General features: G+C 38.2%; 1 protein-coding gene across 11 annotated transcripts in view; it reads right to left on the bottom strand.

The window, feature by feature from the left end:
* Positions 1-18,502, bottom strand: part of CTNND2 (catenin delta 2) — a 932,611-nt gene that overhangs the window by 418,510 nt on the left and 495,599 nt on the right. For 6 of the 11 annotated variants that reach the window (NM_001288717.2, NM_001332.4, XM_005248251.4 and 3 more), the window contains one exon: positions 6,686-6,858. The exons of the other annotated variants lie outside the window; for them this stretch is intronic. Coding sequence is in view for 5 of the 6 variants with exons in the window: in NM_001332.4 (NP_001323.1) it covers positions 6,686-6,858 (173 nt within the window). In the remaining variant the exon portion in view is untranslated. The remainder of the gene's footprint in view (positions 1-6,685; positions 6,859-18,502) is intronic. 11 annotated transcript variants of the gene reach the window in all.

The raw sequence follows: 18,502 nt of genomic DNA on the forward strand, positions 1-18,502 counted from the left end.
TCTATGGAGGGAGTAGGAATGGCAGAGGAGTCATAAGGGGACAATTCTCAGAACTTGAAAATTTATTCAATCCTCATTCTTTGGGGATCTGGCAGTGCAAACAAAACAAAACAAATCCCCCCAATGCTTATATCCAGTTAACAAGAGACCTGACAGCCTGTAATCTCTAAGGAATCTTGACTTCTCATCATGAGTAAGCCCTGTCACTAAGCAAAAGCACATTTTATAAAGCAGGCTCATGATTTATGAGCGGTCCTGTGAAGATGCATTTAGACCTGCCAAGTTTTCTTAAATTGCCAGCAAGTCCCCCAGTTCTGGGACAGGAGGCCTATTTGCCCAGGATGCTGGGCAGCCGGGCCAACAGTGTCAGGAATGGAGAACTGGAGCCCCGTTTTGTGGCTTCCCTGAGTCCAGCTTAACGGGATCAGCAGTCTGCTCCCCCATTCACTGTATTCATCCCTTTCTGTTTTCCTGGGATTACAATCAGACTGGCAAACCTAGTTACTAATGATGTCTTCCTTTTCCAGATAATATTGGCTGGTGGCACCTAAGGTCACCACAGGGAGCAGTGTACCCATGCAAGCACAGGGTTATGACAGGTGCAGCTGGGGAGCACATTCAAAGGAAGGCACAGGCCACAGGGCCAGGGCCACAGAGGAGTCAAAATGTGAATGTGGCCACGGACTGGGGGAGGAAGACATTGGAGCTCATGTGTGAGGAAGATGTCTCAATGCAGAGTGGTTTAAGTTGTGACAAGGACATGAGAAAGTAAAAGCAATGACAAAATGTACTCCTTCAGTGAGTTAAGAAAGGCAGGATCAATCCTGCATAATAAAAAACAGGGCATGGCTTAAAGATGACATATTCAAAGAAGTCTGTTTCTACTGAGAGCACTCTGGTAAGGTAACTGAGTTATATCAGCTCTGTGCTGCTGATTAACAGTTTTAAGAAATTGTTGCACTTTCCTAGTTTAAGTTTGTCTAGAGCTTTGGGCTTGCACACAAAGACAGACAAGGCGATTTGATCTCACAATTTTGAAACATGAAGAAATCACCAACTCCAAAATGCTTACAGTCATATTTAGTACTATATGAAATGTTCCTATAATATAGTGCAAGTAAAACAAATCTACATCCCCAAATAAGTTGTGTGCCTTGAACTTACTCCCTGGGATGTAATGAATTTGCTTGAGCATGCACACCATTGCTCAAAAAATTTGGAAAGTTTTCTTTTCAAATCGTCTTCCAAAGGAATGCCATTCTTTAATTCCAAAGGAAGAAAACTCTGGTACTGCGAGAAAAGTTTGATTTTGTCAATAACTAAATAAAATCATCCAGGGCCTTGTTTGATGATTCTCTTGAGGGGTGCTGGTTTTGGTAAAAGCTAATATGTAACATAAAAGAAGAGATAGCTTCTATGCACATTTTATACACCTTCCCTGAAGTCATCACCACTGGGATCATTACTGTTGGTGAGAAAAGAAGGGCTGGGTTTACCTGGTGGTGATGTCCCACTGACACTGAAAGGTGGTGTCCACAACAAACTGAACTTAAGTAACGGAAAACCCAAGGTACTTGGAAGAAATTCCTTTCCTCAGATGGGAACATCCAAATCAAAAGGACCATAAAAGCAACTATATCCCTGGAAATAATAACAGAAACCACCCTCGCTGCTTTCTCTCTGCCCAATGGTCCCAAAATTATGGAGGAGGGGGAGAGAAAGAACAAGAGAGAAAGTGAGAGAGAGAAATTTTGCAAACTATTTTGTCTCTGCCACTGCAGTTAGAAGGAGGCGGCAATGGATTCATTTTCCCCAGGTCTCTAAGTCACAAGTGCAAACATGGTGACGTAGATTTTTGCATCCTTGAGTACTGATTTTTCCTACCCTTTTACCTCCCTTTAAAGAAAACTGATTAGGATCATTATCAGTAAATGTTCTGAAAAGTATTTCATATGGCCATTTCTGTGGTCTACCAGTGGAAAGAAAATAGAGAAGAAAGAAATAAAGCAATGATGTAAGTATCTTATAGATTTATCTTGAAGAATACGTAAGGAGAGATTTCTTGATGGCAACTCTTTCTTAAAACCTACATGAGCACCCGCAAAAATATACTACACAGAACTTTATTTCAGCAAGAGGCTCATTTAATATAACTGCAATAGCCCAAATATTTGCTCAGAAGAGAAAATGTTACAGCAAAACACATATACACCCTCTCTGCCATGAGAAACGTTTCCATTATTGAAGCCAAACTAAATTTGCTTATCCTGGAAAGAGAAAATGGAGAGAAAAGATTTTAAAGCAAAGCAAGGAATAGGGATTCACAACAGAGAGTCATCCTAAAACTATCTTAAAAACAAATATTCTGCCACTTTCCTGCAAATACGGGCCAAGGAAAATATGTGAAACAATATGAATTCTCTTCTAAATGTTGCATAGTGTATACATTTATGTTAAAAATCTCTCTGCAATTTTTGTGTTTTCCAAATTTATTGGTGACTTTTCTCTGCAGGTTTTACCTAACAACAACTTATTTCATAATTAAGCAAATGGGAGTGAAGTCATACTAGCTGTCTTTACCACCCTTTTTATTCAACACTCAAGACATAGGTGTTTACAGGGAACTTGCTCTTCCTTCAACTTCCCCTTCCCCTCAGCCTTCACATCCACCCGCATGAGTGTGCACCAATAAGCAATGTTCCAAACACAATGAACACACTTCCTTCTGAAAGAAGTGAGCAGATGGTGTACTTATGATTATGATATAGCATTAATGAGGACTTTTAAGACATAGAAGTCAGCACAACATTAAATAGATAAGCCAGATCAAAAAGAAATGGAAATTTTGTTTCTCAAAAAGTGTATTGCTTTTCTAGAACACTTACCACTGTTCAGTTTTATTTTAGAGAACTATCATACAATTCTTAATTTCTCTTACAGCAAGCAGGCCATTTCCCTAAGATTGCGGTTGTGCACACTGTTCAATTCTACTGGAGAATATGCAAAGATTTTGAAATCTTTAGGCTTGTGTACTCCTTTGCCAGTGCTCTGTCTACAGATGTATATTTTTATATTTCTTGCATAGTTTTTTTGTTTGAGGGACAAAATGCTTGGTGAAACTATTTTTTATTCGGACATGGGGTGAAACCAACATGTTTAGAGTTGGTTTTTGGCTCCTCTTTGCCAGAAGTTTTATATTTAGCATTTCATATAATCCAATGGAAACTTTATGTGAGTGGAAAAAGCCAACTTCTTTATCTTCTAGCCCACCCACAAACCAGCACAGAATAATTATAAAACATCAGTCTGGTTTTGGCAGAACCTGATGGATATCTGGTGAACCCTGGGTCAATTATGAGGGATATGAAGGTAAGTCTTGCATCGTTCTCGCTCTTGCAGCAGGGCAATCTAATAGGAAGAAACAGACTTAAATGCAACTAACTATAGGATATCACTTATTATATGACAGAGTAATGTTTTTAACACATAAGGTAGATCATGTCGTTCCTCTGCTTGAAATTCTCTACTGGCTCCTCACTTCACTCCCAGTAAAAAAAGGAATCCTACCAATGACTGAGTGGTTTCCCATCACCTCACAACTCCTGCAGTCCACTGTAGCCACTCTGGCATCCTTGCTGCTCTGTCAGCATGCCAGGCTGCCCCATCCAGGGGCCACAGCATTTGCTGTGCAGAGGGAGCCATATAGCTTCCTTCCTCTTCTCCATGTCTTTGCCCAAAAGTCTCCTCGAGGTCCCTATCATGCTGCACTCCCCCATGCACTTTGGATCTTGCTTACCCTGGTCTGTATCCATTTCCTTCCCATAGAAACCATCACTTTCTAATGTACTGTGCAATTTACTTATTTGCTGTGTTGATTTTCTGAGTCTCCATCCCTGATGCTAGAATAGAAGTTCCTTGAGGACTGGGATCATGTCTACTTTCTTTACTTCTCCATCCCAAGCACATGGGCTCATGGCATCAATTGGCACATGATAAACATCTTGAATGCATCAAAGAATAACCTAGACACACAAAGGTGAAGGTTGACCTGGAAGAAGAAGGGGTCTGTGGAGGGGTGACCTACACAACTTATTTAGAGGCTGGGGCAGGAGCTTGCAGCATAGCTGAGCAGAGTGCTGGCAGTGGGGAAAGGATATCTGTAAATCAGTTCAGGTCACTTTCTAGAATGGCCTTGGGGTCTGATGGGAAGGGTAGTCTACTCTCTCTCCTCTGGACCAGCTCCATGAACTCATCCTAAGTCTCAGAAGAATGATTTTAAAGAGTAATGTCAGAGAACAAATATTTTATGGCAATTTGGGTGGCTTACAGTTTGAGTTTTGGGCTGATAAGTTGGGGCAATGTGGGTTACACACATATCATCAGGGCCTGTTGTAGATCCTGGTGATGATCACTGAATAAGCATTTATTACGCTGAATAGAGATTTTTAAATACTGAAATTAGAATCTTTGAGCATTTATAATACTCCTTTGAAATTACATTTAAATTTACGAACCAGATAAAAAATTATTGCTTTACTTTAGAACTACATAGTTTTTTAGAAAAAAAATAGAATATTTTTGTTTTGATTGATTATTGACCATACTCACTTGGTCTGACATCTGTTAGCCATCGTTTGAATTATATTAGGCCTTGTGGCAATTTATTATTACAGGATATTGTAAAAATTAACCTCGGCTTGAAGGAGTAAGATTTCACACGGATCAGAATTTTGAAAAGAAAAGTATCACACCACTCAAATAGAGGGATCTGAACAATAGTGTCATTATTGGAATGGAATGTGGCCTCCCTTCTCTCAAGGGTATAACACTAAAAGCAGAGTGAAAATGCTGGCTTATTTGTTGAACGTTTCTCTGACATTACATTGAAGTCACAGGCGCTACAGAATATTCAATAAGCATCCCTTTCATACTTCAGCACACAGCTAAAGTAAATTATAATACCAATATCTACCACTGAGTTAAATAAATGAGAATTCAGATATTCCACAATGGTTTCCCTTCTGTTAGTAGAGTGAATTAGAACATTTCAACTCCTGGTTTGATTATTCATACTTGTGCATCCTACCCACTGCCAGGTAAGTGAGTCTACCAGTAACCTTTGCCTCAAACTTAAGTTATATCTTTGAACATTTACATTTATCGATGTCTTCAAACTATAACTCTGATGACTTCAGATACAGAGCTTTGATATCTTTATAACTTAGTAACCCTTTCTGATTAAACTTTAAAGCAACTTTGAATGTGGGTAGAGGGACAGGCCCTTTATCTCAATGGAATGTTTTATCAGTTCCTCTTACCCATATTCCTATCATTCAGCATTGTGAGAAGGTAAGACTTACAAAGCCACTGATGAACAAGGATGTTGCTTGAAGAAGGTAATGACATTTTAAAAATTGTTTCTGGCACAGTAATTTAATGTTAGTAGTGGAAATCCAAAAAACTTCCAGCTCCTGCTTCAATAATGTGAATGTCACATAAATGAACACATAGTGGTGCCTGCACCAGGCTGTTAACCCTCTTTGCCTCTCACCTCTGCATTCATTTTTTGGGGCCATGTGGCCTGCCAGGTGCTCCTGATACAAACATGAAAAAAGTCCTGACCTCAAGTAGCTTTCAGTTTAGTTAGAGGAATGCCTGGATGGATAACATCAATAAATTGGTGAAAGAGATGGGCTCGGGGGTTACAGAGCCAGTGGTGCATAGTGAGCATTTCAGAGGAAGGGTTCCTGGAAGAGATAGTGCCCAATAAATGCAAAAGGGCTGAAACTAACTTTGTCAGCTGCAAACGTGGTGTGGGGCTTGCAGTTCTTCATTCCAGAAGCAAAAACACAGAGGTTAGAAGGACTTATGTTGCTGAAAATAAGCTTAAAACAAGACAGCCTTCCAATAAATTAACTCTGGCGTGATGATCAAAATTATACTCTGGTGGGTACCTCAAAATTATAAAAACTAAAATATTAGCATCCCTTCTCTCCTCTCTTCTAAATAACAACATTTACATCTTTCTTGAAAAAAAAAAATTTCCAGATTGGTAGCTGCTTCTTTTTACCAAGAGTTGGTTTTAACTGCAGCTAATGTATTTGTGCAGTGAAACTGTAAGATCAAGCACCTGCCTTAAAGAAACAATGGAGGGCAAATTTCAAAATCAGACTTCACAAAATGCAGCTATGCCTAAACTCATCACAATCATTTTCCAAACAGTTCTGTTTACCTGATTACACATTTATAGTATGTTTCTTTATATTGATATCAAAAACCACAAAGCAATCCCATGCTTTTTTTTAGGAGACACAATACTCAGTATTTTTTCCGAGTACACTCACAAATTCAGAATGTATATCATACTTATATCACATATAGACATAGAGGGAGTAACTAGATGGACACTGACATAGTCACACAGGGAAACATATATAAGACAGGTATAGCGTGAACAATACATAGATATTTCTAAAGAAAATGTCTGTAATTTAGCATTACTCCATAATTGTATTTTATTATTTATTTTCTTCATTCACAGCACCAAAGGGCATTTTCCCTCAAGTTGAGGGACACACCTACAAAAAAGGCAGGCTGGATCTCCACAATCTCCACATCCACTGCATGCCCATTCCCCACCTGTCCCCTTGGAGTCCACTGACACCATACAGCACTGGGTACCTACCTGGCTGAAGCTCTGGCCCGTAGCTCGGGCTTGTGTGCCTCGGGCCGGGAGCTGTGAAGGGGTGGTTTCCCCCAGGGCCAGGGTCTGGTTGCTATGGTAGCTGGCCGGATACTGGAAAGACCCTTCAGGTTTGGAATTGAGCTGAAGTGCACTCTGGGAGAGCAGGCTGGGCCCTGCATTGAAAGTCATTTAGAGCAGTCAGTGACAGTCTCAGTGAAGCAGAAATGACATGTATTATTTATTGAGAGTAGCCTAGAATTATCTCATGCACATGATTCCAGCCATCCATGCTTAAAATTCTGAGAACTAAAATGACCATATAATTTGACTCCAGCTCTCAGATGAGATTTTTTATTTTTTATTTTTTTTTTGGTGGTGGTTTAAAAGTTCTCAAAGGAGTAGATTTTTCAAATGATCTCATCCTGACCTACATAGAGACATTTCTTATGAGACAAATTAGTTAATCAAGTAGTTATTTTGGGATCAGACAATATCAGAAACATTTGAAATAATGTAAAACTCTACTTTTCGGTACCTGTTAATTTTGCTAATATAATTATATCTCCTACTTAATGATGGAGATGCTAAAACACTCGAAACCTTCCAATCACTGACAAATTCTACTGTATAAATAGTGATATAATACCTCAGTGCCTGAAGGGTAGACAGTGTTTAAAATATTAATAGCTCTTTGTACGATGTGGAATTCACCGTCGCCTCACATAATCCCTGATGACTGGTTACCTTTACCATCCCAGCAGTGCACAGTAGGAGAACAAAGAGAACATACGGTGTTCAAATTCATGCCACGCATGTAGCTGATATTACAAGGGGTGAAGAATCAGTTTCTGGTCTTACTTAATTATACGTTGCATATGAAATTGTGTTTTGTTTTCTTATATTCTTTTTAGATGAGATCCTTGCAAACATTTTCCCATTTTCTTTTTAAGCAAATTTTCTTTGATCAAATTTAATACTCTCTTTAGGGATCAAATAAATATGGAGGAGAGTAAATGTACTTGTTATTTTCCATTGTGTGTGTTTGAGAGGGGCTGGGGTAAGAAGAGCGTGTCAGTGGCAAAAACTTGGCAATACAAGTTTTCTCCTGCCTCTTTGTACCATAGTACAAAGTCATATATTCGATGGAGTGTAATAATACACATATAGACTATAGCATAACCATTAAATCATTCTTGATCCCCCTCTTTGGCTGTTTTAGACAATAATATCACTTCTGATAAGTATGAGCAAATTTCAAGTTCCTTATTTTTTTCTTTTTAAGAATGGAACATGACTTTATATTTCGAATGAGACATGATGTGGATCACCTTTCATAAAAATAATGCATCCTCTTTTAAATAACATTGGTTCACAAATTCTTTGGCACTTAAAGCCTTCCCAATCCCTCTGATTTTCTGATGGAACTTTGAAACAACATCAAGATATTTTTTCATCAGTATTTGAAACAACATGAAGATAATTTTTCATCAACATTTTATATTGAATAATATGCCAATTAACTAGTACAGTTATTTTGGAATCTATGCGGTTTCTGGAAAAAAAAAAGGTAAGCAAGGAAATAAAAGTGTTTTCATCCAGCCACAACTTCATCATGAAGGGTGTAACAAAAGTACAAATGCAATCCCTTCACTTTTAATTTAAGAAACCCAGTCCTGAGAAAACAGTATGTACCAGATGGTAACATTTCCAATAGCCTGGAAAAAAAATCATTTATTCTGTCCTAATGGCATTATAGGACTCAATCACTGAATATAAGGAAGTCTCTGAGGGGAGATGCATTTAGAATTTGATTCTGGGTGCCAGGAACGTATTGTCCCTATCACTGCTATGGAAGCTGCCAGGCCCAGCAGAGTCAAAGAACAGTGTCTGAGGTCCAAGTGACAGGCAGGCTGAGATATGGGAGAGCCTCTGGAGGTGGGGCAAGTGGAGACTAACCATAAAGCGGAGGAGAAGGAGGTGGGCACTGGGAAGACAGTGACAACTGTGGCTAAGGGCTTTACCCTTTGTCCCTCCGAAGGTCACATTTTAATGGTGGGAGTGAGCTATGGTGGAAAAGCAAAGGCCTTTTCAGCTGGGTGGTCACCATTCTACCTGACAAAGGAGGGCTGCCTGCTGCAGCTTTCTTGGTTCTTTCTTTTTTGTACAGTCTACCTGGGCATAATGGCTTGTACTGGCCAGCCTCTCCTCCCCCCTTGAGATAGTAATGCATCCTAAGGGCAAAGAAGGTTAAAGCAGATACAACGACAGTGCACAGACCTTTGGAAATATCAATAGAATGAAGTAAATAAACACATAAACAAAATACTTAATTTCATGGAAGAAGTTTAGCATTATCTTAGACAGTTGCATGTCCTCATTATTTGTCTTTCAAAGAGAATGCAGGAATTGCTCTGAAGAACTGTTTTGAGTATGTAGTTAGCAAGTTAAATAACTTTGTATATTCTGAATAGACTCATACAATTATCTCCAGAAACTTACAAATGCTGTCTGTACAGTATCTTCTAATGACAATGTAAAGTCCCTTTTCAAAAGAATTTAAATTAAAAATGTGGTTTACTTGCTCCCAGAATATATATGATAGAATAATGAAATCTCTTCATCTTTTATAGAATCAGTTGTGTATTTGATCAGTACTCAATGAAAAGTAACCAGGATTTTCTATCTCATTACTCTATTCATACATCTCAAGCACTGAAAACTAGATGTACTCTGACAAAAGTAATTGCAACAATGAGCAATGTATCAGAATATTACAACACTGACATATCACCTGGCAAGGACAGAACAGTCAAGACAATAGCCAAAACCATGTATGCATTTTAGAATGTTTTTCCATTGCTCACTAGGTTTTAAATCAGTGTCATTTACTCATTCTAATTTTAGAGAGCACAGACATATGAAACACGTTAAAATTTTAGGACAATTCTTAACTACTTTATAATGAAAGTACAATTTAAATGTAACTAACTTTCAATTAGCTTTATTAATATTACTGTGCAATGAGGTAGAAAATACAAATTTGCCAAGGATTTAAAAAGCATTTATAGTTTTGGGCTTTAAATTATGTTTTTTTTTTCCTCTGGAACTTTTGACTTTTTAATCAAGCCTTGCTTGGGCTAGAGGTAAAACGAGGCTGTGGTCCTGAACCTATGGAATCTATGACCTGAAGGATGTGGGTGATATGGAAAGAAATGGTAGACGAAGAGAAAGAAGCTGGACCCTAACATTTCACCCAGGGAAACAGGCTATTGTCTTTAATGTAATGATTTCCAGTAGACATCTGAACTGTGAGCAACAGCGGATCATCATGTCCTTCTTGGCCACAGAGAGCAGAAGCCATGGTCTCATTTGCCTTCAAGACGCTGACCTGAGGGGTCACAGTGACTTCTTTGACCATCTGGCCCTTCTCCATGATAGAATAGTCCTCAGAACTGAGCCCAAGGGTTTTCCCAAAATGAATCACCCCTGTGAGCCAGGAAGAAAAGGTGAAACCATTTCCTCATACATTGATGATGCTTAAGACAGTTTTCTTTGTTCTGAAACAAAACCTACTATCCTTAACTGGATAGAGAGAAGAAATTCCAAGGGAACTACAAAGTTGATTCCATTAATCCTAAGAAGATACATGAAGCAAGGATCTTGAGTGTAACACCAATGTCTCAATATGTTTTCACATGTATGAATTGGTTAGAGACTACACAGCAACCTGTGAAAAAAACTGCATGATCTTCATTTTTGTCCTAGAAGTACAGGCAGAGGCAAAGAGGTTAAATTGGCAGCCAGTGTCACAGACATGGTAACATGAAGAGGCTTGGATCCTTATCTTCTGTCTCCAAGTCCAAAAGTTGTTGTTGTTTAATATCAAAACACTGTTTCTTTAAGTCATATATACATGTCAGCAGTTTAAGGTTGAAAAAGTCCTGTGTAAACAGAAATCCACTTGTTTGCAGGAGAAATCTTCATGCCTCAGATTTTGGTGCTTCTCCAGTGAACTGCTGCTTACAGATTCCAGGTGCTGGCTAGAGGAAACTCGCTGTCCACTATTCGTGGGACAAAATCAATCTCAGAAGATGTAGAGGTTGAAATGTTAATTTTCTGCATAAAAATTCAGACCCACTTATAGGTCATATCAATACAGACACTATATAACACAGACACAATATGGCCAGCTTCTTCTGATCAGATTAACTGAGTATTTTAGAGTTTCCATGATTATGTGCACTTGTTCTGTTTACCTAGTTTTAAAGAGACTTTATTTGGAATTGCTAATATTTGCCTGCGTTAGCTGAACATCTGCCTTAGAATACAGTAGACCTTCAATTAAAGAATATACTTTGTAATAATACAGAAGAGGCCAGAGGTCTACAATGTGGCATTCCCGAGTTATTCTATAAGTCACAACCACACTAATGGAGTATCTGAACGTGTGTTGAAAAAAATCCAGGACTGGACATCCACAGACCTGGGCTCTAGCCCATCTCCATACTTATTTGACCATAGATGATGATGACAAAGATGATGATGACAGTGACAGTAATGACCAGTTAACCTTTTTTGAGTACTTAAGAAATTCCAAGGATTGTCCTGAGCAGTTTCCATCTACTAACCCATTCAATTTTAATGACATCTAAGCGAGGAAGGTACAACCATTCCCACTAATGTCGGGGGAACTGAGGGATCCATTAACTGAAACCTCACAGTTACTCGTGGGCCTGGGGTTAAACAAAAATAGCAGATTGGCTTCAGAATGTGTGTTCTTAAGCACACTTCATGATTCTGTCACAACAAATTGTAATCTTTCCAAATTTGAACACCTAAGGAGATAATGGATGTGCAAGTGCTTGGAAAAATTTTAACTGCTATATAAATATCAGTTATTATTATCTGATTATCTAATTGCATAGCCACATGGTCTGATAATAATAAAACCTTCACAGGGATATTTTGGTCTTGAAAACCTTATTGTAGGACTCTCCCACACATTATTCATGCTTTCTTTCAACAACCTGCAAGCTTTCATCTTACAAACAAAACATACAAGGCACAGTTCATTAAAATGGCCTGCATGCAATAAAACAACAACAACAACAAAACTAATGTCAGAGCAAATAGATGAGGAGCTAAAATCTTTTGGCACTTAGAGACAGTTCTCCGTTTCCTCAGCCTGAAATTCTTTTTTCCATCAACCTCAAAACTCATTCTCAAACTTAAACTGCTGCTTAAATGTCACCTCCCAATATTTTAATAGAAAATATTAAGTAAGAATAAAGGAAACAGATGGTAGAACTTACATACAAAAGGGTTATTGGACCATTACAAAATCAATGAGAAAAATTGTTGATTATTTCTAAAATTACCAAACTGATTTAAATAGATTCAAAGCACTTTGATCAGACTTAACTCTGCAGAATAAAAATATTCTGTTTAAATTTCACTACTAATGATTTCATTTGTAGCAGCAGTTTCACCTTTATGGGTTCCAGAAGAACTTGCCCATTTACAAATTAACTTAGAGTAAGAGGTAGCTACTGATGATAAAGTGGTTGTTTTCTCCTGATCTTCGTTAGTAACTTATAAAGCTCATTTGGAGGAGTTTCTCTGAGGAGGTCCCCTAAAAATAGTGGCTCAGCGCATCTACCATTCCAAAAATGAGCTGAGAGAAAAAGCCCAAGGGGCTTGTTATGCAAGAAAGCTTCAGAGTTGACGGGCAGGTGTGTTTATAAATATCATTTCTAAGCCTCTGTCTCCAGAATATCTATTTCGTCTGGTCAGTTGCTTTCAATGTGTAATGCTTTATGTGAAAATTAAAACGTTAATGGTCCCAGGAATATAGAAGTACCCATTTAGTTTTTAAACTGATTTAGACTTATCCAATGTCCTTGGCTTAATTAGTACGCTTTTCCAAGTTTGACTACTGTGGATGGATACATAAAGGATTGGTCAAATGTTTGCACTACACAGTAAGTCACTCAACTTTTTTTCTTTTTTTTAAATTTTATTTTACTTTAAGTTCTGGGATACATGTGCAGAATGTGCAGGTGTGTTACATAGGTATACATGTGCCGTGGTTGTTTGCTGCACCTATCAACCTGTCATCTAGGTTTTAAGCCCTGCATGCATTAGATATATGTCCTGATGTTCTCCCTCCCCTTCCCTCTCATCCTCCATCGGGCCTTGTATGTGATGTTCCCTTCCCTGTGTCCATGGGTTCTCATTGTTCAACTCCCACTTATGAGTGAGAACATGCAGTGTTTGGTTTTCTGCTCCTGTGTTAGTTTGCTGAGAATGATGGTTTCCAGCTTCATCCATGTCCCTGCAAAGGACATGAACTCATCCTTTTTTATGGCTGCAAGGTCACTCAATTTCTTTACAATGGTGTAAAATGGAAGACATGAGCAAACTGACATTTATCATAAAAATAACTCTCAAATGTATAACTTTAGTTTGGAATGTGTACCCAAAGAATTTTATCATGAGTGAGATTGCACATAATATTGTAATCAGAGAAGTGTACTTTTCATCGTTCATTCCAATTCCCAACTATACCTTACAAAGTTTTGTCTTTAGGTTATTTGCCATTAAAAATTAATGTAGCACAAGGAGAAGAAAAACATTATTTCTTCATAAATAGTTTAAAGAGGATCTGATATATTCGTATTTCTCACTATCAATACTTGCAAAAATAAATAAAACATTAATACAAATTGGTTTTGAAGAAAATAAAATTTAAAAGTGAAACTCAGAAAACACTACAATTTGTGAATGGGAACATAGCAGTTTAAAGAACCAGTCTTTGATTTGTGACACATCACACATTTGCCCCCCGTTGATCTGCATGGCTTGCTGGTGCATTTCTTTCAGGTCTCTGATTCAATGTCTTCTCACAATAGAGGATTTCCTGGCCTTCGATCATTCTTTATTCTAGTGGTTCTCAAAACTCTTGGTCTCTTAACCCTCAAAATTATAGAGGACTCCAAAGAGCTTTATTTTATCTGGGTATATATGATGCTAGTCACTCAAAATGTTTCCAACAGAAGAATATGCAGCACACATTCCCAGAGCTGTCAGGGACATGATGTTGTTACATGCCATGTAGTCTCTGGAAATCTTCAAAAACATTCGTGTGAGAAAAAGAATGGGAAAGCAAGTATCTCTTAGTATTATTATGAAAACCTTTTGGCTTTGAAAGTCCCCATCAGGGGCCACGAAGACCCCAGAATTCCCAAGTATATTTTGAGAAAAGGTGCTCTACTCTACTGTTGACCTGGCTTTGTCCTTCTGCAAAGCCATTATCGATCTGGCCCTCCAGTATTGAAAAGGTTGATTTTGGCCTTTTCTGACTAGAATGTAAATGCCACAAGGACAGAGACCCTTTGTTCCTGCCATTAATAAGTGGTTAATACATACATTTAACAAAATAAATGACTGGAACATCCACCTGTGCCTACAGTGATATAACAAAAACTCAGTACATTAAGAGTTGGTTACATCAGTTACTGTTCAAGTGCAAGTGCCTTATTGTTTGATCAGTATCTGTCAGTATCTGTATTCTTTTTTTTTTTTTTTTTTTTTTTTTTTTTTTTTTAGACAAAGTCTGGCTCTATTGCCAGAGCTGGAGTGGAGTGAGGCAATCTTGGCTCACTGCAACCTCTGCTTCCCAGGTTCAAGCGATTCTCCTGCCTCAGCCTCTCAAGTAGCTGGGATTACAGGGGTGCCCCACCATGCCCGGCTAATTTTTTGTAGAGATGGGGTTTCACCATGTTGGTCAGGCTGGTCTCAAACTACTGACCTCAAGTGATCTGCCTGCCTTGGCCTCCCAAAGTGCTGGGATTGCAGGCATGAGCCACTGTGCCTGGCCAATATTCATATGTTTTAACTTTTGGGGAAATCCCTCAATACATCTTCATAATGTGTTACTGAGAGAGTCCTCTCCTTCCTCTGCCTCGCGGGGAAAAGTCTGCTTATTCTAAGGCTTTCTCACTGGGGCTGGCAGCGTCTTTGCTTTTTCTCATACCTATGGCAGCTCTGAACCTGTCCTCACTTTCAGCAGCTTTCATCTAATCTTCATATTTGTGTTCCGGGAATCTACAATGCCTTGACAATTTCAAGACCAGGAAATTCCCACCAGGTTCTACACACATTGTGCTTGATCCCAGAAGATCCTGATAACTCAAGTGGGAATGATGTCTTTAATGAGAAATTTGCATTGTTTTCTCATATTAAGTGTGTGGTTAAAGAGCTCTTCTTACTTGATGCCTTTGCCTATTCCTTAAATTCTTAGGTTTGCCTCTGAGCTGGCGACCTTGTTAGAGAAGGTATAACATGCTTCTGAAACATCTACATGGTAGGAGGAAATCTAAGTGAAATCTAAGAAAAAGAAATTAGGCCGGAGCAGTGGCTCATGCTTGTAATTCCAGCTACTTGGGAGGCTGAGGCAGGAGAATCACTTGAACCCAGGAGATAGACGTTGCAGTGAGATGAGACTGCACTATTGCACTCCAGCCTGGCGACAGAGCAGGACTCCGTTAAAAAAAAAAAGAGAGAGAAATTAAACACCAGCTGAGAAACAGGTAGAAATACTTTCTGGAATGGAGGATAATTACAGCTTCCTGAAGGATTTTATTATTTCCTGTGGGCCACCTATGTGTTTTCCCTCAGCTTTTGCCCTCACCTTCTATTTTTGCTACTGCTAACCTCCCATTAATTTCATATACCCGAGGTAGGGGGGGAAGTGAGTGTAAGTGAATTTCAAAAGGAATGGTAGCATCAGCCAACTTTAGACATGGACACCATGACAAACCTCTGGAAAGAACAGTCTTGTTTGTATTTTAAAAACTTGGACCTCCCAGCACTTTGGGAGGCCAAGGTGGGCGGATCACTGGAGGTCAGGAGTTCAACACCAGCCTGACCAACATGGTGAAACCCCGTCTCTACTAAAAATACAAAAATTAGCCAGGCGTAGTGGGGCACCTGTAATCCCAGCTACTTGGGAGGCTGAGGCAGCAGAATCGCTTGAACCCAGGAGGCAGAGGTTACAGTGAGCTGAGACTGCACCATTGCACACCAGCCTGGGCAACAAAAGCAAAATTCCATCTCATAAGTAAGTAAATAAACAAAACTGGACCAAAGAGCATATGATAAAGTGATTTCACAGGGAATGAACAATTAGGATAGCTCAACTGACTCAGACACGCTTTCAGGATGTGGGGTCTCTAAGGCCAGGTGACAGTCCTTGGGCACATCTGGGATAAGGAAGGTTTTCTATCCTGTTGGGTCTATTGGAGGACCTGGTTTCCACTATAATAGAAAGCAAAACAAAGAAAACAGCCCTTTTTCCCTGACCATGACTTTTATTTTTTGAGCCAATTTGATTAATGGATTTATCATTTTGACTACTATGATTTTCATGAAAAATTTACTCTCCTAAGACCTCTTCTGCATCTTTTGGTGTCATGCTTAACACGAATTATGAAAACATTCACTTCACAAGGATGCCTCCCACCTTTATTATTATTATTGCATGAGAACATATGGAATTAGGTTTTATAGCTTTTAAATAACCTGATCTCTCAAACGTCTCTTGTAAATTAAGTATATTCACAGTAATCAAAATAAAATAAAACTGTAAGTCAACAGTGAATAATATATTTGCCTCTGTTAAACTATATATGATTATTCTATTTTAATTCCACCTGCTTAGAATGGTAACATATACGATTGATTCCTGAATATATTTAAAAATATATTCAGATTTGAAAACTTATAATAATATGTACTTTTTTTTAACCATAACACTCAGAATATATTAGCTCTGAAGATTTTCTTCCTACTGAATAATGGAATTTTCTAAAATATGACAGAATTTCAATTCATTAATATGCTACAGAAAAAATAATTACTATTGCAAAATACAATATTTAAACAAATTAACAATCTGTGGTTAAACATACGAGTTATTTTTTTCCAGGTTATCCTTTCTATTTCTTATTTTGACTGACAACATTTTTGTGAATCACTGGCTAAGATATAATCACCTTTATTTCTGAGTTTGTATATAAAAGGATGCATAGATTAAAGAAAGTACTTGGTCCTAGGCAGTTCAAGTCACATTATTCATTATGTAGAAAGCTAATGGCCCCAAGCTTCTGTTGGTAAATTATTTTTTATTGTTTTGTTTTGTTCCACTGAAGCGACAGCAGTCTCTGAAACAATTCTCCTAGTGACTCAGTGACTAGTTTGTTTAACAATATTTGTTAAAATTGAAATTACACAGCCGGTAGTCACAAAAAAGAGGCAGGGTGGCAAAGGTTGTGCACATGGTTTACCAAGTGTTTCAGATTGCACTGTTAAAAATACACAAAGTGTTGGAAAACACTGGTAACTGTATGACCCAATAAAATCAGCATAGCAGAGCAGTTACTGCTTGTCTTGAGGTCAAAAAGATGCGTACTGTGACTCAAATTTTATTTTAATCAGACCTTTGAAAGACAAATAGCAAAAAGCTTTAAATAAAACAAATTAAGAACTATGCGATCATGGGGTGAGACTGCTTTCCATTTTAGAACTTTTCCAGACTGAGTTTAGACAGTATTTAGCCTTGTTTTAGTCCCTTTTGAGTGAGGATTAAGAGACTGGTTCTCAAGGGCAGGGTGCCAGGTCCAATTTAGCATTAGCTGGTTCATAGCTAATGAATCCATTGATTGAATAATCACTGACTGGCAGAATCTGATGGGCTTTTCCTAATTAGATGAAATCTGTCAATGTGCCACTGCATATCTATTTGCTATGTTTCTATACGGGAGAGGTAAATATGGTATACGGTTGTTCCACTATCGAGGAGGATGCTGTGCTGATAGTGCTGTACACTCACTCTCTGCTAGTCCTCTGCACAGAGAAGGATGTCTTTCAGTTTGGCTTCTGGTTGGGTTTGGCCAATGGGAGGCAGGAGAAGGAGATTGGGGGAGGGAGGAAAAAGAGATTATGACATTGATTCCCCGCTTGCTGCTAGACTCTGCTGGGGATAGTTCCTTGATTTCCCTTAGGGTCTAAGGGTGGTAAGGGCATCTGTCTTCCACTGCCTGAATACCACAACATGCGCTGTTTGTTCCCTTAATCTTGCCCACCTCTTCATAAATAGTCCCTTAATTAAATTCTGTTCAGTTAAACTCTTTTGAATAGAATCTATATCTCATCTGGAACCTAACTAATATATATACACAGAGCAATTTAGATTTTTATTTTATGATCCTCTGAACACTTAAAATTCGCAATATTGATGCCCAAAATGATAGTTATCTACCCAATATGTTAAAATTATTTTCCTAGTTTTTACTCAGTTACTTCAGTTTCAAGGTGACTCTGAATATGTTAAGGGCAAATGGTTCTTAAGAATAATAATATTCTTTATGTGACTGTGGTTCAGAATCCTTCCGCATACAACTTTTGAATGGTACTTTTATCAATTGTTTCTTTTTTGTTTTGTTTCTTTTCCTTTCTTCAAAGCAGGATGAAGGAGCTTTCAAAAGAAATAATCAACTAAAATCCTAGGAGTCTTCAATAAGATAATTCAGTACGTGACAATATAAAGTGACTAATCTTTCTGAAAAATAAATATTTGGTGGTTACCAAATATATGTGGAAAGACCATACTGGAGCATTTAACTTCCCTATTATAAACCATTTGTAGGTAATTTTTGAATACATATTGCAGGCAAACTAAAGTGAAAGCTAAAAAATTTCTTTCCATTTTCCTTGTGTGTAACAGAGTTTCTCAACTAAGAAAGCTCAGTACTATTA

This window comes from Homo sapiens, chromosome 5 (genome assembly GCF_000001405.40).
Source record: "Homo sapiens chromosome 5, GRCh38.p14 Primary Assembly".
NCBI classification, from domain to species: domain Eukaryota; kingdom Metazoa; phylum Chordata; class Mammalia; order Primates; family Hominidae; genus Homo; species Homo sapiens.